Source organism: Homo sapiens, chromosome 20 (genome assembly GCF_000001405.40).
Source record: "Homo sapiens chromosome 20, GRCh38.p14 Primary Assembly".
In the NCBI taxonomy this organism is placed as follows: Eukaryota; Metazoa; Chordata; class Mammalia; order Primates; family Hominidae; genus Homo; species Homo sapiens.
This window is the reverse complement of record NC_000020.11, coordinates 20,351,297-20,372,333: the sequence shown is the minus strand read 5'-3', so window position 1 is coordinate 20,372,333 and position 21,037 is coordinate 20,351,297. Positions and strand designations below refer to the sequence as shown.

Sequence of the window (21,037 nt, the reverse complement as noted above, 5' to 3'; positions counted from 1 at the left end):
GTGCATACACTGACCCTCAGTTTGGGGTATCTTTTAATGTTTGGTGTAACTCAGAGAGAATATTTTCAATGCTCCCATTCTCCAGTATTACTGTTGCAGGAGGGGAGAAGCAGCAGCCATCAACCCACACATTTGAGTTTTTCTTTGTTTCGTTTAAAGTTTTTAGGATGTTATAAATGCTGCTCTGTCCCTGTGCTTTCCTATTGTACCAGCCCTGAGCTTTTTGTTCTTTTATTTTCCAAACTGGTAAAATATGTAGTCATCAGTGATAAAAAGCTCCATGCAATTTGTCCTGGAGGCAACTTACCTGTAGAGGTTTCTCCTTCATTGTTATTCGAAGGCTGTTTCCAGACCCTCACAAAGGGAGGAATATTCCACATTCCTGCTAGCTGAGCCTGCTAGCTAAACCCCGTCCCACAGAAAACTTGAGGCTCACAATCTGAAAATGATCTCTTTCCTCAGTTTGTCCTTCCAAGTTCCTCATGGACTGCCCTTCCCAGCCTCATTCCAGCTCTTCTTTGGAGATGCAAATCCCTTTACTGTGCAGATTTCTAAAATCTCTTTGGCAGGCAAATGTTAGCTTTAGCGGACCTCAGGAAAAAAAAAAAGGCAGCAAAAACACACAAAAGGAAGGGAACACACACATGCACAATTGTGAGATTTAGCACAGCTCCTTCATGAGATGTTTCCAAGACAGAGGAAAACAACCCAAAATATTCACTGGTGAGAGTCAGAATTGTTCTTGAAAGAGCTGAGTGACACATAATGGAAAACATTGTAATTACCTGTTATTAAATTTAATACCCCAAACAGATGGTGTTCCATTTTCCCCCCAAACAGACTGCTCACCTGATTGGAAAATTATTTCTAAGCCCTTGCCCCCAGTTGCTTAACTTCCCATTGCATCCAAATGTGAATCGGGTTGCTGCCCGTGCTTTGCAAATCTGACGGTAAAGTCATTTCTCCTTTCTTGTCGTGAACAAAAACTACCCACTTTATTTATCTGAGGAATTACTATCACCCTGAGCCCCAAATTTTTGGGAATGAAGGACTTGCTAAATGAAAGTGCAGTGCAAAGAACAGCTTCTTAGGGACACTGATCTAGATTTCTCTGAAAAGATGCCCAGGGCCTTCATTCTAACCCGCCTCCTGGCACATTACTAAGGACCCCAACAAGGCTTGTTTCAGCCAGCCGCTACCAAGGCTATACCCTCAGGCTGCCAGAAGGGCAGAGTTCCGCAGCTGAGGTTCAGCTCTGAAAACCCACCATCCTGGTGGTTCCCTTTTTCCTAATAAAAAATAAAGTTACATTTTAAGAAACCATCAGAAGCTCTATTTTAAATTCGTCCTGAAAGCATGTGATGCAGAAATCAGGCCACCACACTTTGACTTTGAAAATATTTTATTTGAATAGTAAATAGTTATACAGTTGAAACAGTTCTATTGAAGCTTTCTATAAATAGCTAACAATTAAGAAAATAATGTATGTAGAAAAGAGATTGCATTTAAAAGTAAGAGCTGTCGGTTGTACAAGGGCCCTGGGGACCCTCGAAGCAGAATAAATGATAGGTTGTCTGTAATTCACTCAGATAGGTATAAAAGTTAAAACTTTAAGCAGATCCCTTTAGAAAAAGGCTCTCTTCTAAAACGCACAGTGGAATGTCAAGAGTGGCAGGGTGGGGAGGGGGCAGCGCGCCAAAAAAATCTGCAATCAAATAATATCATAATCTTCATAATTAATATAAATAAATAAAGAATAAATAACAATTACTCATAAATCAACATATACATTTAGAGGGAACTGATAGTCCTACCTCAACAAAGATGATCAAACCAAAAAGTCTTACGTGAAACACTGAGGCAGTTACTACAGCATCTTCGGAACACTCCCTTCCCTCCCCCCACAAAACAATCCCAGACAACAGTTCAAGGCATTTGTGGCTATACTAAAGAAAACTCTTTTTTAAGCAATTTGATTTGTTCACATACAAAAAGGTAAAGCCAGACTCCAGCAGTTCACAAGCCATAATAAAGCTAATCGTGTGGGAAGTTCAATTTACAGCCTGTGAAATATAAAGGCATTTATTCCTCAAGATTCACCCAAAACAACCCGTACGCTACATACATAGAGAGCAGAGATTGGTAGGCGAGGCGAGACCAGACCGCATTTCTAGACCATGAACACAGCGAATACTAGCAAGAAAAAAAGCTTCTCCCCGCCAAGGGGAGGCTTCCAACCACGAGACAAACGCGTACAGCTTTTCTCCCTTGTACAGAAAGAGACTGACTCCTGTTGCGCCATGGGGGAGGCGGAGGGACACAACGTAAAAGTGGGGGTTCCAAAAGGAGTCAAAAGGAGAGTATGGGGTTACCGTCACGCCACACCGAGAGAAGCGGAGACGACACTTTCACCCGGTGGGGGCGGGGGCGAGGCTCCCCCAGCGCGGACTCGGGTTCGGGGAGTGCAGGGCGCACTCTCTTTGTGGGTCTCCAAGCGAAGGCACAGTTCGGGGGCCGGGGTGGAGGGCGCGCTCTAGCAGGCCGGGCGCACGGGCACCTGCAGGAGGATCACCTGTCTGTTTTCGGATGGGTGGCACTTGTTGATGTGCCGCGTAAGGCCGGGCGAGCTGTAGAAGGTGGCCGGGCAGTACTTGCAGGGGAACACCTGGGCGGCGTGCAGCAGGCGCAGGTGGCGCTCCTGAGCGCCCTTGCTGGCGAACGACTCTCCGCACACTGGGCACAGGTGGCACTCGGCGGACGCACTCAGGCCCAGCACGCCGGCCCCCTCGCCGTCGCCGGCCGCCTCCTGGGGCGCCTTCTCGTCGGGCCCGGGGTACAAGGCCAGTAGGTCCTCGGCCGGGGGCGCTAGCGGCGCGCCCTTGGCCTGCAGCGCCTGGTGGTGCGCCAGCAGGTGCTTGCGTAGGTAGGCCTGGCGGCGGAACTTCTTGGCGCAGTGATGGCACTCGTAGAGCCCGTCCTCGGAGCCCGACTCGGACACGCCGCCGGGGCTCGGCGTGTCCCGGTCGCTGCCGCCGCCGGGTGCCTCCCGCGCCTCAGCCCTGGCTGCTGCTTCTGGCTCCGGCGCGCGGGCGGCGGCGGGCGCGGGCCGCGGTTTGTGCCAGCGGCGGTGCGAGGCCAGGTTGGCCGGGCAGCTGAAGACCTTGGCGCACTCGGGACAGCGGTACTCCACACGCACGATGCGCGAGCATTTGTGCTGCGCCAGCGCGAACGGGTCGGCGTACTCCTCCTTGCACAGCTGGCAGATGAACTCGCCCAGCGGCCGCGCCGCGCCCCCCGCGCGGCCCCGCGGCGCCTCCACCGGGCCCTCCTTGATCTTGAGCCCCAGCACGGGCGACGTGGTCACCTCGTCCTCGAAGTGCAGCTTGCGGATGGCCTTGGGCTTCTTGGCGCCCGGGGCCTTGACTGCCTTGGCGGGCGGCTCCGCGGCGGTAGGGGGCGGGGGCCGCTTTCCCGGGGGCCGCAGGGCGGCGGCAGGGGGCAGTGGGGGGCCGGGGCCCGGGCCGCGGGCCGCCTCGGCGCCAGCCGAGAACGCCGTGCCCATCTTGAGCTCGGCGGGCGCGAAGAGCAGCGGGTCGCCGCCGCAGGTGCCGCCTCCGCCAGCTCCGCTCGCGCCGCCGCCGCCGCCCCCTCCGAGCAGCGCGGCGGGCGTGGGGAAGGACTCGGCCGAGACCGGCGAGCCCAGGTTGAAGCTGCGTTCGAAGTACTTGTGCTTCTCGTGCTCGCGGCTCACGGGCCGCGTGGGACTGTAGAGCGGCGCGGGGTGCGCAGCCTCGGGGTTGCCGAAGTGCGCGGCCCGCGGGCCCTGCGGGGGTGGCTGCGGCCCAGGCGCGCAGGCAAGCGCGGCGGCGAGCGCTGCATGGGCGCGCTCCGCGGGCGGCGGCGGCGGCAGCGGCCCGGGGACCGGGCTCGGCGCCGGGGGCTCGGCGCGGGCGCCCCCGCAGCTGGGCGAGAGCAGCAGTGCGCGGTCGCCGTCCTCGCCGCCGCGGACCCGGTAGGAAACGGGCGTGGACTTCTTGCTGCGCTTCACCAGGAAGCCGCGGGGCATGTTGGCGCGGCCCGAGGGCACGGCACTGGCTCGGTCCCCCCTCCGCGCTCGGCCCCGGCGGCCCTCAGTGCCCCCGGCCCATTGCCCGGGCGCGGCGGCTGCGGGACTCGCGTGGCGCCGGCGACGGCTCGGCCCAGCTCTGCGCCCTGCACGCGCGTCCCTGTCCCCGGGCCCGGCAGCCGCTCCCTTTTAACGGGGGGAGGGGGCCATTGTTCTCGCCTCCCGCTTCCCCTGGAGCCAATCAGCGCGTCCGCAGCTCCTCAGCCTGGCAGGGTGGGAGGGCGATGGGGCGGCCAAAAGGGGGCCGGGACTCGGGGGTCGCCCGGTAGGTGCGGCAGATGTACCTGAGGGCGCGGGGCCCCCGCGCGCGCCCCTGGTCGCCCCGCCCGGCGCCGCCGCCCCGCCCGGTCCAGGCACACGCCCGGCCCCGCCTCCCTTCACGGTCTGCTGCTTCTCTATGGGGAGGCGCACGTGCCTGGGCTTTGTGTCTCTCCTCCGGGGGGCGCGGAGCCGCCAAATGGGCCCGTCCATCAGCGCGACAATGCACGCCCCCCTCCCGCGCGGGGATTACCCGCGGGTCGCTAGCAAAATAGCAACAAAGGAGAAGAATGGCCCCAAATATGTCAGGAGGGTTCAATCCGCGAGCCGGAGCCGAGGGGGAAGTTGTGCGCGCTGATTGGGTGGGGGCGGGGGCGCGCCGGGGCGGTGCGGGGGAGATCGTTGCGGAGGCGCAGTGGCTCCGCGTGGTGTTTGGGAAATAAACAAGAATCCGAGAGAGCAGCAGGGTCCGGACGGCCTCCGCCCGGACCTTGGACGGATGGGCCGCTGGACCCAAGAGGCCAAGCAAAAGGGTTCCCCGGGGTTCCAAGTGTGGACAGGGGGCCCGGCCTTCTGGCAGTGGCCGAGGGCGATGTTTGTGCTCGCAGCCTCCGCGCGCCCACGGGGCTAGAGAAGGTTTCTTTCGAGTTTGAGAAGGAATTGGCACGGCCTTCTCAGTCTCCCGAAAGCGCGGGATTGGAGCGCGGGCGGGCTGGGCTGGGTTCCCAGAGGAACGTGAATTTCTGAACTTTTGGGTTCTTGGAGGCTTGGGAATGGCATCTTTGGCGGGGCCCGACCCAGGCCGCCCGGAGCTTCCGCGTGGTCCAAGGCTCGGTTAATCCGGGTCGAGTTGGCCGAAGCCCGAAACGCGCGGTCGGCCTCGTGCGCCCCAGTGAAGTTGGCTTTCTCCTCCCCGCGCGGCCTCATGCATTTTCATTCCGAGCGGGCATTTTGTTTGCCGGTTGACATCAGATGCTAAATCAAGGGCTCCAATCAAGGCGCTGCGAAATAAAGGGGCTGCCTGTCTGGGCGCAGCCCCCACGGAGCCGTGCCCCCTTCACCTTTGTGAAGGAAATTAACCTCCTGCTATTGAGCTCCGGTCGCGGCCAATCTGGACGCAAAAGAGACGCGTGCTGGACGGGGGGAGGGGGGGCAATCTGTACTCTGAGGCAGGCTGAGGCCTCCGAGAGGACAAGCCGCCTCCCCTGTGCCACCAGGAAGAGACAACAGCGAAGATTCCCCCCGCCCCCACCCCCACCCCCACCTCCGCTGCCGTTCCGTTTGGACCCAGACTGGGCCGCCTGCCTCCATCCTCTGTCCAGCCCAGCCCCGAGGAAACACAAAAGGCAGAATCTTCGGGGGACAGGGCAGAGAACCCCACGAGTGCGTAGTGGCCCTGATCGTCCAACACTGGGGAACAAATAGCCAAGCCACATAAAATGTCATATGCTGTGAGGAAAATGTCACTTTATTGAAAGAGAAGGAAACATTTTTCTGCAAAGCTTTGTATACCAGACAGATTTTGCTGAGTTTTACTTACGCTTAATTCCACTGAAGGTATTTAATTGTTTTGGATTTTCCCTCTGAAAATACCCTGGCGTAGAAATTAAACATGTAAAAATAGAGTCCACATGAGTCATAAGTTGTGATGGGGACAGTTGTTAGGCTTAATTAATTAAGGGGTTAATCAGGTTGGTTAATCAAGGGAAAGATATTTGATAATTTTATGTTTGTAATATTTTAACTCACACACTGAAAAGGGAAGAATGCATATAGTGAAATATATTTTGAAAAGTCTCACCCTAGTTTTAAAAATGCTGTGGTGAGTGCTAGTCTCCCCAAAAGTTAGAAATCTTAAAATGAGTTTATCTAAAATTTATAAACATATTTCTATCTAAAAGTAACTGATGTTATTTCCTTGCTCTTTTGAGCTCTGATTAATAGTGCTGATGAAATTAGAAGTGGGAAAAGGATTCCGAGACAGCTTTGGCCAATTTTATTTTCTAATCACGAATCCCATCTGGATTGTAGAATAGCATAGGGCGGGGGCTCGGCCTGCCCCATTCGGTCTTGCATATGTAACACTCCTTCCATTCAACAGATAACAGAGAGTTAGTCACCTTGTGAATCCTTTAAAAATAACAACACCCATAATTGTAAATAAGCCGTGGGGATGGGAAACCGGCACCTCTACCAACAAAAAAAACAAAACAACTCCTGCGTGAGTGAATTCAAACAGGGCTCTGAATTTAGCCAAGGGAATCTATTAAACGCTACTGAGATACTGAGATTCAATGAATCCGTTTCTTTTTCTTTATTTGTGGCTTCCAGTCTTGCTAGCGTAAATGAAATCTGCTTTCAGACGGGTACAGTCAAAATAAATGGAAACTTGAAAGGTACTAGTATTGGAAACTAATTTCACCACCCGGGGCTGGAAGGAGTTAGGCTGCGCACGCGCGCACGCACACACCAGCGACCTCCAAGCAGGTGTAGCCCAGCCCGGGCCGTGGATCGCAGCCGCCTTCTGCGTGATTTTCTCAGAACCTGTGCACCCGCATGCATGGGGACATCGGGTCGAGATATTTGTCTTCGCCTGGGAAGAGCAAAGCGCCATCACAGTGCGCCCCCGACGCCGGCCTTGGCGCACGCGATTCGGAGAATGGGCCGCGTGAAGTTAAGTTGGGGGAAACAGCGCGGATTTGCCCCCCTCCAGGGGGGCTTCGCGAAAGTCAGTGAACATAAGGATCCAAGGCAGAGCACCCAAGGGGCCTTCCCCGGCTTCAGGTGACTCCTCCCCTTCCTTCGGGGTCCTGGCCAGCGCTTTGGAAAAATCCCGGGCCTCTTCACTTTCCCTTGCGGACCCCGCGGTGGGTTCTTCCTCCGACGACTGCGGAGCCCGAGGCCCCAGGCCCTCCAATTTCTCCTATCCTGGTGTGCGGGGATGCCGTCGGGGAGCGCGCCGGGGTTCACTCTGACCCTCACCACGGCTGGAAATCAAAGTCAAGGCAACAGGGAGTTTGTAGAAAGCGCGAAGCTTGGAAATAAGAGCAGAAGCGGGGAACTTCTGCGGAGGAGTTGGCTCCTTGGGGTGTCTAGGAGAACAGGAGGCCCTGGCCTCACGGGAGGAGCCGGGCGGGCCCGCATTCTCACCCCGCAGAGGGTATCGCGTTTGGAGACGTCGGCGTTGGGGGTGAGGTGTCAGCGCCCCTCATCACCACTCTGCTGCAGACTTCTCTTCTGGCTTCACAGAAGCCCCCACTCCCGGCCCTCAGTCCCCCGAGCCACAACCGGCAGGAACCGTGCGTTACCGCTGCAGTGCCCGCCGCCCGGAGGGACCAGCGCCTCCCTGCGCCGGGTGCGCCCGACCCGAGCCGGTGAGAGGCTTTGTATTTGCAGGAATGAGGGGTTGTTGTGTCAGTCCCAGGGGCACGCGAGAGACACGCGCAGCCCGCCTGGCCGCCACCCCGCCCGGCCCGGCCCCAGGCACCTTCCGGGCCTCCCGCCCGCGGGCCGTTGCCTTTGTTCGGCGCATTAGCATAAAGCTGCCAGGGATCTCCCGTTTAGATAATTCCACACAAAAGGAGAGTGCATGAAAGAGAGCGAACAAGGGACGATCCGCGAGGCTGCGTCGTGCGTCCTCGCGGGGAGGGACCGCGCTCAAGTATTTCCCTCCCCTCGAGTTTCAAGTGCCCCCTGGCAATCTGCTGCGCGCCCATTATTCGGCCGGGGGCCGACGGCGTGGCTGGCCACCTCTTTTATCCCCCCGAGAGTACCGTCGGGGCCACTGCACGCTCCTTGAAGTGCCCTCAGGGCTGTTTGTTTTTGCCTCAGTGGGACCGTCGGGCCAGGGAGGGAGGAGAGCGGGTAGGAAGGCCCGGGCGGGCGGCGGGAAGGGCGACGTCGGCGAAAGCTGGCAGAGGCGAAGCCCAGAAGGTGAGAAAGTCATAACCAAAGAATTAGGTCAGGGAGAGTCAGGACGGCACGGGACCCATCGGGATGACATTGACCTTGGGGCGCAAGAGGTGTCCTCCACCTGTGAGGTGCTGGCGGCCGCTAGTCCGTGCGCCTCGGTCTCAAACGGAACTGACAAAACCCAGCGAAACTGACCAGAAAGGCTGCGGCGACCCCGATCCTTTCCCCTTCCTCCCACCCCACTCACACCTGCACCCCGCCTCGCCTGCCGCAGGAGGACGAAGAGGCAGCCAGACTCCTGGGGTCCACAAGGGCATACTTTCTACCCTGGCGAGCGTTCTTGCTATGGGGTTGGCGGGTGCTCCTCCCCCCCCACCGCCGTTCCTCTCTCCTCCGCCTTTCCCTCTTCTCCCGTCCCTGCTCTCCTCCCTCGCCCTCTGGTTCCCTCCTTGTGTCATCCGCCTCCTCTCCCTCCTCCTGTCCTTCTCTCTCCTTCTGTCTCTTCCTTTCTTTTCTTTCCCCTCCTTTCTTGCTCCCCACGGTGTCACCTCTCCCTCCTTCTCCTCTCTCTCCCATCTCTTTCACTCCTAATCCCCCCCCCGACCTGTGGTGTCCCCCCCATAACTGGCCCCCTTCTTCTCTCCCAGCCCCTTCTTCCCACTGTCCCTCCCTCCCCATCCAGTTCCCCCAGCCCTCTTTGCTGTCTTTCTGCTCCCCTCTCTCCTCTCGTCCCTCTCTCCTGTCTCTTCCCTCGCTTGTTTCTGTCTTCTCTCCCTCTCTTCCCCCCCACCTCTCTCCCAGTCTCCCATTCCTCTCCCCTTCTCTCTTTCCTTCTCTCTCTCCCCCCTCCTTTACTCTCCCCCCACTCTTCTCCCTGCTCTTACTCTCCCCCCACTCCCCACAGGCCAACGTGTGTTATTTTATTTGTCTAGAGAGAGCCTATTTGTTCAGTGATGTGTGGCCTCCTGGTCGCCTGCTTTAATGGGGGACGCGGAGGCTTGGTTTCTGTGAGCATTAGCATACAGCTGCGGGCTCTGCGCCCCTGCCGGCGCTCACTTTATCCCAGCCTTATCATCACTTCTTCTTTCAACCAGAAAACAATCAACAGCTCCTCGCACTCGGCGCTCAGCGACTTTCGAGCCCTGCTCCCTGCTTCTTGGCTAACACTGGCTCACTCGGATGCGCACCCTCTCTCTCTCTCTCTCCCTCCCTCCCTCCCTCCCTCCTCTCTCTCTCTCCCTCTTGAAAGGGTAAATATTGATTGGCTGGCTTTACATTTTATGCTCCATGCCATATTTCCTTCCCTCCCTCACTTCATCGTTGATTTTTCTCTTGCCCTCCTGTGATGTTTGAGTGTAGTAAAACCATAATAAGCCATTTTTGGAAAGGCGGTGGTTACACTCTTTATTAAAAACTGACATCTGTTGGGAGAGCAATTAGAGGCATCAGAAGGCGGGGTTGTTGCATGTGATTTGGGGGAATAAAACTTTGGAAAATTAACTTTGGTATTTTCTGATTAATATTCTTTGCTTAAAACTGTAGAATTCCAAGATCAGGCTTACAGCCCAAGATGTCCCCAGCTCAGCAGCAAGTGCTGAAATATGTAGAGACGCCAAGCATTCAATCCACTTACGGAATTCATGCCTTGTGCAAGCCAAGTCCAAATATTGGTCTGTTTCAAGCCCTTCCTTTTAAAAGCCAGGCTTTATCTTCACCGTTATTTTCCCAAAGCCCTTAGAATAGTCAATTGCAAGTTATAACCAACAACTCTTGAATTCCTCTTTTATTCTTAGGCAACTTGTTCAGTGATAAAGTTTTCAAGTCTGAACAGATATGCTAAGATTCTTAGATTCAGGAAATTATTTAGCATCTATGCTAAATAGCTTGTAAATTACCCACTTTCGAAGTGTGAGATAAGGATTAAAATAATGTCACCCAATATACTTTGTACACTAAAATATATTCTAGATATTTTCAAGTCTGCTGTGATACTTATGGAGCACTAACACTCCTTTTTCAAAAGGCAGCAAAGGAAAACTTACTGTCACATTTATGCATGATTTGGTATTAAGGTTGACATTGTCATTTGGGGTCACTTTTATGTGACTGGAGGCTTTTTAATGCTAATACTTGGTCACAGAAGTCATAACTGTTGATCCTCCGAGATTGTTCTGTTAATCTGCATCCAGGGGTCCCAGGACCTGTCACAGAAACTTACTCCTTTTGCTTATGAGTTTGACCCAGGTCCTTTCAGGGGAATGGGACAGGGGAGGAGAGTTGCTTGAGCTGACTCATTCACCAGCCCCTGAAATATGGTTCCACGTGTGCTGGGTCTGAATTCTGAAGAGTGGACCAGTAGCAATTGTTCCCCATTCAAGTGACACAGTGTGTACCATATGGCCAATGCTGGACCCTCCCCCCAGTGACCCATGCATTTGCGGAAAACGTGCATGTGAAGGAATTAGGAGCATTTATTGCTTGCTTTTGCCTGCCTTGGGAAAATCAAGAGTCCAGTATTCTGGAACAATTTTATTTTGCAGAAATATCAATATCAAATAACTTTGCAGTTCCAACAAGTTGGCAGTTTGCAGCAGAGAGTTTGATAATGTGTACACAGTGCTGTAATGCCAGCTCTGACTTTCCTTCTAATAGTTGTGTATCCCTTATCTTGTGCCAACTTTTGCTCAACATTTACATAAAATACAACACATGAAGAAAAAACTGGAATTGTTCACAAAAACCAGTTTTAAGCCCTGCTGTGAAAAATTGTGTCACACTGTCTACTGAGAGACCCAATAAATGAGCACAATCTTATGTGTTGTTCCCCCTCATTCCTGAATCCATGCAGTTAGTTACTAGTGGGCAATTAATTTGCTTTATTTATAAGAAAAAGGGTTTCTGATCCACATTAGAGTTGACATGTACTAGGGACCCCTTCACCCCGCCCCCCTCAATGCAAAGCAACAGTGCTAAGGATCAAAGAAAATGAACTTTGATGAACTTCCCATTACCACGTTACCACGTTCTAATCTAAAACCTATGTGTGAACCCCTTGAGCACCCAACTTTTCTGTGACTTTATGCTCCTCATCTGCAATTTGAAACAGAAATACAGCCTCCTCCTTTCCAAAGGTCATGTAAGCTTTCCTACACAATCACTGCTTCTTATGTTGGACTGCAGATTTAATTTCTCATCATCTGTTTACTAATTTTCCATTCTGGGCACATTTTCTTTTTTATCACCCACAAGTACTGCTGGGTAAACATGTGAAGAACTAACAAGACTGGCAGCGGAAGTTTCCAGGAAATCAAACAGAATCACACCCAAGGTAAAAACAAGTTTTACACACTATGATCTCATTTTATTGCTGAAATGGATTATTCTGCACAGGAACATGCCTGGGATTTGTAAAGCGAGCCTGCCCCAGAAGAGAGGCACACGGCCGTGTGCCACCTACTGGGATGATAGAAAACTACAGGCATAAGTCAGGGAAGGAAAGGAATGAACAAAACCACCAGGGGCTGGCTTCGCTGTCAAACCAGGCTGCAGAGAACTTTTCTATTTCTACAGAGCGCGTTTCCAGGAACTAAATAAATGAAAACCATAAAGGGGAGACCCTGCCTACAACTAAACGATGCCTGGCCACGCGTACATGGGCAGGTGGTAGCGGTTATAGTGCAGGTAGTCAAGAGTGCTTCTCTCCACCAGGGTTTTGTAGATGGATTCCTCAAAAACTCTTTTGAGGTATTGCCTGGGCTTCTCAGTCGGGTTGATTTCCTCATCTTCTATTTGATGGGCTAACTGCTCTATGGAAGGAAGATCTTCCTCCTGTAAAACACAGTAAGAGGCCAGATACAGAAATTAATTGGACCCTGCACAGTTGTAACGGCAGTTTCATGAGAATGAAAACAACAGTAGTCAGCTCTGCAAGGATGGTCATTTTTTTTCTAGCTTTTGAAAATTTATTTTTAATTGTGGCAAAGTATACACAACATGTCTTATTTTAATAATTTTTAGGTGTACAGTTCAGTGGCATGAAGTACATTCACATTGCTGTGTAACCCTCACCACTGTCCATCTCCAGGACTTTCTCATCTTCGTCAGCTGAAACGCTGTCTCCATTAAACACCAGCTCCGTACCCTCCCATCCTCCAGGCCCTGGAAACCACCTCTGTCTCTATGAATGTGACTACGCAGGCATCTCATATGAGTGGAACCCTGTAGTACTTTTTTTTGTGACTGGCTTATATCACTTAGCATAATGTCCTCAAGAGTCATCCAGGTTAGTCATTTCAAGCCCTTCATTTTCAGATAAAAATCATCTGTAGATCATACTTGTTTTGTTGTTGTTGTTGTTTTGTTTTTTGCTTTTTGAGACGGAATTTCGCTGTTGTTGCCCAGGCTGGAGTGCAATGGCATGATCTCGGCTCACTGCAACCTCCGCCTACCAGGTTCAAACTATTCTCCTGCCTCAGCCTCCCAAGTAGCTGGGACTACAGGCATGGCCCACCATGCCTGGCTAATTTTGTATATTTAGTAGGGACAGGGTCTCTCCATGTTGGTCAGGCTGGTCTTGAACTCCCGACCTCAGGTGATCTGCCCACCTCGGCCTCCCAAAGTGCTGGGATTACAGGCATGAGCCACCACGCCCTGCCTCTGTTTTAAAAATAAAAAAATTTAAAAATAAAAAAAAGGAGTGATTAAACCTTTTTACTTGAAAGGTCCTATATGAAAAGTTTTCTTGCTTATAATTCCCAAGAAGTGGGATTTTAAAACCTTAGAATAAATTCACAATCAAGTCAAATTTTATTGATATATTTAAAAAGGTAGGGCTCAGAAAGAATAAAGTTGTTTGAAGCTGAGAATCTTATGCTGCACATAGGTACAGTGTAGTAGAGATTTTCCTAACATTTCATTATAAAAATTTTCAGAGACAAGTTGAAGAATTGTCCACTGAACACCTGCACACCTGCACCTGGACTCCACAGTTAACATCTGCTATATTTGCTTCACCACTGCATATCTGCCCTCCAGAGCAGGGTACTTCTAGAAAGCACATCCCCCAGGGTTGAGCTGGCTGCTTTCCAAACACTGTGATTCTTGAACATCACCCTAGATCAAGAGTCTGTGGACTCTGATGGTACATTTATTTCAACTTCCAATAATTCCTTCTATTTTGAATAGAAAAGGCAATTCCTTGCAGGGTTTTGTTGGATTATTAACTTACTAGTGATAAGAGCTTATAGATAGGAAAACAGACTCAAGCTATATGGAGGCATAAAGTCATTGCCACTTGGCTAAGCAAGACACAACGGGGTGCTGGAGATTATGCACACATTGGAAAGAGCAGTCAGTGAGGGTTGCAGGAATTCAGATTTAAACTAGAGCAATAAAGGCAGTGATAGGGAAAAAGCAACTGATTCTCACAACTAAGTACTGGGAGGTTCTGAAAACTTTGGGTGCCACCAGTAAGGCCTCGTGGATATATTCTGCAATGTGTATGAGGTTGGCTCTTTCTTCCTTAATTTTTCTGGAGAATTGTATCAAACCAACCAAAAACAATTACCTTACTAAAATTATACAAGATTTTGAGCTCATATTGTATGCTGCTGTTCTGACACTGGGTTAAATAGCGTAAAACCACTTTTAAAGTTTATTTCAGGCAAATATTGCTCTAGATTATAAACAGATTTTTGGGCACTTGCCTCTTGAAGGATGACCTCTCATACTGTGATCATCTTCTTTCACAGTGTGACCACCTCCCCTCACAGTATGACCATTCCCCTCAGTGTGACCACTTCCCCTCAGTGTGACCACCTCCCCTCACAGTATGACCATTCCCCTCAGTGTGACCACTTCCCCTCAGTGTGACCACCTCCCCTCAGTGTGACCACCTCCTCTCAGTGTGACTACCACCCCTCACAGTGTGCCCACCTCCCCTCACAGTGTGACCACCTCCCCTCAGTGTGACCACCTCCCCTCACACTATGACCACCTCTCCTCAGTGTGACCACCTCCCCTCACACTGTGACCACCTCCCCTCACACTATGACCACCTCCCCTCACACTATGACCACCTCCCCTCAGTGTGACCACCTTCCCTCAGTGTGACCACCTCCCCTCAGTGTGACCACCTCCCCTCACACTATGACCACCTCCCCTCAGTGTGACCACCTCCCCTCACACTGTGACCACCTCCCCTCACACTGTGACCACCTCCCCTCAGTATGACCACCTCCCCGCACACTGTGACCACCTCCCCTCAGTGTGACCACCTCCCCTCACACTGTGACCACCTCCCCTCAGTGTGACCACCTCCCCTCACACTATGACCACCTCCCCTCAGTGTGACCACTTCCCCTCACAGTATGACCACCTCCCCTCAGTGTGACCACTTCCCCTCAGTGTGACCACCTCCTCTCAGTGTGACTACCACCCTTCACAGTGTGACTACCTCCACTCGCAGTATGACCCCCTCCCCTCAGTGTGACTACCTCCTCACTCACAGTATGACCACCTCCCCTCAGTGTGACCACCTCCCCTCAGTGTGACCACCTCCCCTCAGTATGACCACCTCCCCGCACACTGTGACCACCTCCCCTCAGTGTGACCACCTCCCCTCACACTGTGACCACCTCCCCTCAGTGTGACCACCTCCCCTCACACTATGACCACCTCCCCTCAGTGTGACCACTTCCCCTCACAGTATGACCACCTCCCCTCAGTGTGACCACTTCCCCTCAGTGTGACCACCTCCTCTCAGTGTGACTACCACCCTTCACAGTGTGACTACCTCCACTCGCAGTATGACCCCCTCCCCTCAGTGTGACTACCTCCTCACTCACAGTATGACCACCTCCCCTCAGTGTGACCACCTCCCCTCAGTGTGACCACTTCCCCTCAGTGTGACTACCTCCTCACTCACAGTATGACCACCTCCCCTCAGTGTGACCACCTCCTCTCAGTGTGACCACTTCCCCTCAGTGTGACCACCTCCTCTCAGTGTGACCACCTCCCCTCACAGTGTGACCACCTCCCCTCACAGTGTGACCACCTCCCCAGTGTGACCACCTCCCCTCACACTATGACCACCTCCCCTCAGTGTGACCACCTCCCCTCAGTGTGACCACTTCCCCTCAGTGTGACCACCTCCTCTCAGTGTGACCACCTCCCCTCACAGTGTGACCACCTCCCCAGTGTGACCACCTCCCCTCACACTATGACCACCTCCCCTCAGTGTGACCACCTCCCCTCAGTGTGACCACTTCCCCTCAGTGTGACCACCTCCTCTCAGTGTGACCACCTCCCCTCACAGTGTGACCACCTCCCCAGTGTGACCACCTCCCCTCACACTATGACCACCTCCCCTCAGTGTGACCACTTCCCCTCAGTGTGACCACCTCCTCTCAGTGTGACCACCTCCCCTCACAGTGTGACCACCTCCCCAGTGTGACCACCTCCCCTCACACTATGACCACCTCCCCTCAGTGTGACCACCTCCCCTCACACTGTGACCACCTCCCCTCAGTGTGACCATCTCCCCTCACACTGTGACCACCTCCCCTCAGTGTGACCACCTCCCCTCACACTGTGACCACCTCCCCTCAGTGTGACCACCTCCCCTCAGTGTGACCACCTCCCCTCACACTATGACCACCTCCCCTCAGTGTGACCACTTCCCCTCACAGTATGACCACCTCCCCTCAGTGTGACCACTTCCCCTCAGTGTGACCACCTCCTCTCAGTGTGACTACCACCCTTCACAGTGTGACTACCTCCACTCGCAGTATGACCCCTCCCCTCAGTGTGACTAGCTCCTCACTCACAGTATGACCACCTCCCCTCAGTGTGACCACCCCCCCTCAGTGTGACCACTTCCCCTCAGTGTGACCACCTCCTCTCAGTGTGACTACCTCCCCTCAGTGTGACCACCTCCCCTCACAGTGTGACCATCTCTGCTCACAGTGTCACTACCTCCCCTCAGTGTGACCACCTCCCCTGTGTGGTCACCTCCCCTCTCACAGTGTGACCACCTCCCCTCACAGTGTGACGTCCCCTCACAGTGTGATCACCTCCCCTTACAGTGTGACCATCTCTGCTCACAGTGTCACTACCTCCCCTCAGTGTGACCACCTCCCCTCACAGTGTGACCACCTCCCCTCACAGTGTGACTACCTCCCCTCAGTGTGACCACCTCCCCTCACAGTGTGACCATCTCTGCTCACAGTGTCACTACCTCCCCTCAGTGTGACCACCTCCCCTCACAGTGTGACCATCTCTGCTCATAGTGTCACTACCTCCCCTCAGTGTGACCTCCCCTCACAGTGTGACCACCTCCTCTCACAGTGTGACCACCTCCCCTTAGTGTGATCACCTCCCCTCACAGTGTGACTACCTCCCCTTAGTGTGACCTTCTCCCCTCTCACAGTGTGACCACCTTCCCCCTCACAGTGTGACCCCCTCCCCTCACAGTGTGACCATCTCTGCTCACAGTGTCACTACCTCCCCTCAGTGTGACCACCTCCCCTCACAGTGTGACCACCTCCCCTCACAGTGTGACCACCTCCCCTCAGTGTGACCACCTCCCCTCACAGTGTGACCACCTCCCCTCAGTGTGACCACCTCCCCTCACAGTGTGACCATCTCTGCTCACAGTGTCACTACCTCCCCTCAGTGTGACCACCTCCCCTCACAGTGTGACCATCTCTGCTCATAGTGTCACTACCTCCCCTCAGTGTGACCTCCCCTCACAGTGTGACCACCCCTCACAGTGTGACCACCTCCTCTCACAGTGTGACCACCTCCCCTTAGTGTGATCACCTCCCCTCACAGTGTGACTACCTCCCCTTAGTGTGACCTTCTCCCCTCTCACAGTGACCCCCTTCCCTCTCACAATGTGACCACCTCCCCTCACAGTGTGACCACCTCCCCTCACACAGTGTGACCACCTTCCCTCTCACAGTGTGACCACCTTCCCTCTCACAGTGTGACCACCTCCCCTCAGTGTGATCACCTCCCCTCTTGCAGTGTGACCATCTCCCCTCAGTGTGACCACCTCCCCTCTCACAGTGTGACCACTTCCCCTCAGTGTGACCACCTCCCCTCTCACAGTGTGACCACCTCCCCTCAGTGTGACCACCTCCTCTGACACAGTCTGACCACCTCCCCTCTCAGTGTGACCACATCCCCTCACAGTGTGATTACTTTTTCTCTCACAGTGTGACCACCTCCCCTGACACAGTGTGACCACCTCCCCTCTCAGCGTGACCACCTCCCTTTCACAGTATGATTACTTTTTCTCTCACAGTGTGACCACCTCCCCTCACACAGTGTGATCACTTTTTCTCTCACAATGTGACTACCTCCCTTCTCACAGTGTGACCACCTTCCCTCAGTGTGACTATCTCCCTTCACACAGTATGACCACCCCTTCCTCCCCTCATTACCCTTATGAATTCAACTTCTTTAGATTCCACATGTAAGTGAGATCGTGCAGTATTTACCTTTCTGTACCTGATTTTTTTTTTTTTTTTTTGAGACAAGGTCTCTCTCTGTCACCCAGACTGGAGTGCAGTGGTATGATCTTGGCTCACCACAACCTCTGCCTCCTGGGTGCAAGCAATTCTCCTGCCTCAGCCTCCTGAGTAGCTGGGATTACAGGTGCATACCACTACTGCCTGGCTAATTTTTGTATTTTTAGTACAGACGAGGTTTCACCATGTTTGCGAGGCTGCTCTTGAACTCCTGACCTCAAATGATCCACCTGCCTCAGCCTCCCAAAGTGCTGGGACTACAGGCCACCATGCCCGGCTGTACCCGAATTATTATACTTAGCATAAAGTCCTCCAGGTTCATTCATGTTGTTGAAAATGACAGAACAGAACTTCCTTTTTTTCAAGGCTGAATAGTATTCCATTGTGCATATATACCATAATTTCTTTATCCATTCATCTGTTGATGAACACTTAGGTTCATTTCATGTCCTGGCTATTTTGAATAAGCTGCAATAAGCATAGGAATGTAGATATTTCTTTGATACATTGATTTCATTTCTTTTGGATACATACCCAAAAGTGAGATTGCTGGATTATATGTAATTCTATTTTTAGTTTTCAGAGGAACCTCCATACTGTTTTCCAAAATGGCTGAACCAATCTATATTACCACCAACAGTGAACAAGAATTCCCTTTTCTCCACATCCTTGCCAACCTTTTATCTATAACAGCCATACTAACAAGGGTGAGGTGGTAGCTCACTGTGGTTTTAATTTCCATTTCCCTGATGATTCATGAGGTTGATCCTTTTTTAAATATATCTTTTGGTCACAGTAAGTCCTCGTAGCTTCCTGGAAACTGTAACTTTAAGCGAGATGACATATAACAAAACCAATTTTACCATAGGCTAATTGATAAGAACAAGAGTGAAGTTCCGACAGCATATTTCTGGTCACAAAAACATCATCAAACTTCTAAATAAAGATGAAAAACACTTCTAATATTAAACACTAAAATAATTGTGGGCTATGATACATTTAAGAAAGATTAACATAAACAAGTAAGGTAATTATTTACCGAGTTATTTCAGTTCCGGGTGGTAGGTTGCTGGAGCCTATCCCGGCAGCTCAGGGTACAAAGCAGGAACCCATGAACAGGACCCCTCCCATCACAGGGTACATTTCCATCCACACCTGCACCCACACTCACGCACACTGGGACCATTTAGACATGCCAATTAACCTTTTGTGTCTGGCTCTTTTCACTTAGCATAGTGTTTTGTTTTTTTCTGATCTTTGAACTCCAGTGTACCTGGTGAAAACCCACAATGCACACAGACATGGGCAGAACATGCAAACTCCACAGACAGTGGCCCGGGAATGACTTTGTTTTCCTCATCAATGTTACAACGAAAGGATGTTATTCAAGGACCTACTGTATGTCTTCTTTTGAGAAGTGTCTATTCAGGTCCTTTGCTTATGTTTATATCAGGTCATTTGTTTTCCTGTTAGTGAGTTGTTTCCTGTTAGTTAGTGAGTTAGTGAGTTATATAGTTGCCTGTATATTTTGGATATTAGCCAAAATTGGATATCATACATCAAATCAGATGTATGATTTGCAAATATTTTCTCCCAGTCTGTGGGCTGTCTCTTCACTCTGTTGTTTTCTTTGCTGTGCAGAAGCTTTTAAATTTGATGTAGACCCACTTGTCTGTTTTTGCTTTTGTTGCCTGTGCTTTTGGTGTCACATCCAAAAAAATCCTTTCTGAGACCAACGTCAAGAACTATTTCTCCTATGTTCTCTTCTAGAAGTTTTACAGTTTCCGGTCTTATGTTTAAGTCTTCACTCCATTTTGAATTGATTTTTGTGTATGGGCTGAGAGAAGAGTCCAATTTCATTCTTCTGCATGTGGAATGTTCCCATTTTCCCAATACCATTTATTGGAGGGACTGTCCTTTCCCCATTGTGTGTTCTTGGCACTTTTGTCAAAAATCAATTGCCTGTAAATGTGTAGGTTTATTTATGACTCTCTATCCTGTCCCACTGGTACATTTATCTGTTTTTATGGCAGTACCATGCTGATATGGTTTGGCTCTGTGTCCCCACCCAAATTTCATTTCAATTTGTAATCCCCACGTGTCTGTCGAAAGACAGAGGTGTTTGGATCATGGGGGCGAACTATGCTGAGAACTATGCTGTCCTCATGATAGTGGGTGTTCTCATGATAGTGGGTGTTCTCATGATAGTGGGGTGAACTATGCTGAGAACTATGCTGTTCTCATGATAGTGAGTGAGTTCTCATGAGATCTGATGGTTATAAGTGTTTGGAAGTTCCTCCTTTGCTCTTCTCATGCTCCTGCCACCTTGAGAAGAAGGTGCTTGCTTCCCCTTCCACCATGATTGTAAGTTTCCTGAGGCTTCCCCGGCCATATGGAACTGTGAGTCAATTAAACCTCTTTCCTTCGTAAATTACCCAGTCTCAGGGAAGTTCTTTATAACAGTGCGAAAATGGACTAATACACATGCTGTTTTGATTACTATGGTTTTGAAATATATTTTGAAATCAGGTAGTGTTATGCCTTCCGTTTTTTTTTTCTCAAGATTGTATTGGCTATTTGTGGGTCTTTTGTGGTTCCATATGATTTTTAAGATTGTCTTTTCTATTTCTGTGAAAAATGACATTGGCATTTTGATAGGAATTGCATTGAATCTGCAGATTGCTTTGGTTAGTATGGACATTTTAACAATATGAATTCTTCTAATCCATGAACACATGATATCTTTCCATTTATTTGTGTTGGCTTCAATTTTTTTCATCAATGTTTTATAGCTCTCAGTATAGAGATCTTTTAACTCATTGGTTAAAAACTCCTAAATATTTTTTTTGATGCTTTGTAAATGGAATTGCTTTCTTAATTTCTTTTTCAGATAGTTTATTGTTAGTGTATATAAACATTTTTTTTTTTTTCGAGACAGAGTCTCGCTCAGACTGGAGTACAGTGGCATGATCTCGGCTCACTGCAATCTCCGCCTCCTGGGTTCAAGAGATTCTCCTGCCTCAGCCTCCTGAGTAGCTGGGATTACAGGCACCCGCCACCACATCTGGCTAATTTTTTGTATTTTTAGTAGAGATGGGGTTTCACCATGTTGGCCAGGCTGGTCTTGAACTCCCGACCTCAGGTGATCTGCCCGCCTTGGCCTCTCAAGGTGCTGGGATTACAGGTGTGAGCCACCATGCCTAGCCAA

The 21,037-nt window shown here is 51.4% G+C and overlaps 2 protein-coding genes across 2 annotated transcripts in view, besides 3 other annotated features; both read right to left on the bottom strand.

The window, feature by feature from the left end:
• Positions 1–1,384: 1,384 nt before the first annotated feature.
• Positions 1,385–4,230, bottom strand: INSM1 (INSM transcriptional repressor 1). The gene has a single exon (NM_002196.3). It carries the CDS (start codon positions 4,064–4,066, stop codon positions 2,534–2,536), a length of 1,533 nt encoding a protein of 510 aa, NP_002187.1. The 5' UTR covers positions 4,067–4,230; the 3' UTR covers positions 1,385–2,533.
• Positions 4,367–5,137: an enhancer, noted in NCBI's record as "H3K27ac-H3K4me1 hESC enhancer chr20:20347841-20348611 (GRCh37/hg19 assembly coordinates)". NCBI's record gives its function as "activates a minimal SCP1, AML or CMV promoter by ChIP-STARR-seq in naive H9 embryonic stem cells {active_cell/tissue: H9 hESC(naive)}" and the evidence as "EXISTENCE:reporter gene assay evidence [ECO:0000049][PMID:30033119]".
• Positions 11,595–11,889: an enhancer, noted in NCBI's record as "tiled region #7426; HepG2 Activating non-DNase unmatched - State 12:CtcfO". NCBI's record gives its function as "activates a minimal TATA promoter and a strong SV40 promoter by Sharpr-MPRA in HepG2 cells {active_cell/tissue: HepG2}" and the evidence as "EXISTENCE:reporter gene assay evidence [ECO:0000049][PMID:27701403]".
• Positions 11,595–11,889: a silencer, noted in NCBI's record as "tiled region #7426; K562 Repressive non-DNase unmatched - State 13:Ctcf". NCBI's record gives its function as "represses a minimal TATA promoter and a strong SV40 promoter by Sharpr-MPRA in K562 cells {active_cell/tissue: K562}" and the evidence as "EXISTENCE:reporter gene assay evidence [ECO:0000049][PMID:27701403]".
• CFAP61 (cilia and flagella associated protein 61) overlaps positions 11,636–21,037 on the bottom strand; it is a 308,167-nt gene continuing 298,765 nt past the window's right edge. The window contains exon 27 of the mRNA NM_015585.4: positions 11,636–12,124. Within this exon, the coding sequence (NP_056400.3) occupies positions 11,924–12,124 (201 nt within the window). The 3' untranslated portion in view covers positions 11,636–11,923. The remainder of the gene's footprint in view (positions 12,125–21,037) is intronic.

Coding starts and splice junctions, on each gene's coding strand:
- INSM1 (NM_002196.3), bottom strand. CDS start 4,066: ATGCCCCGCGGCTTCCTGGTGAAGCGCAGCAAGAAGTCCACGCCCGTT.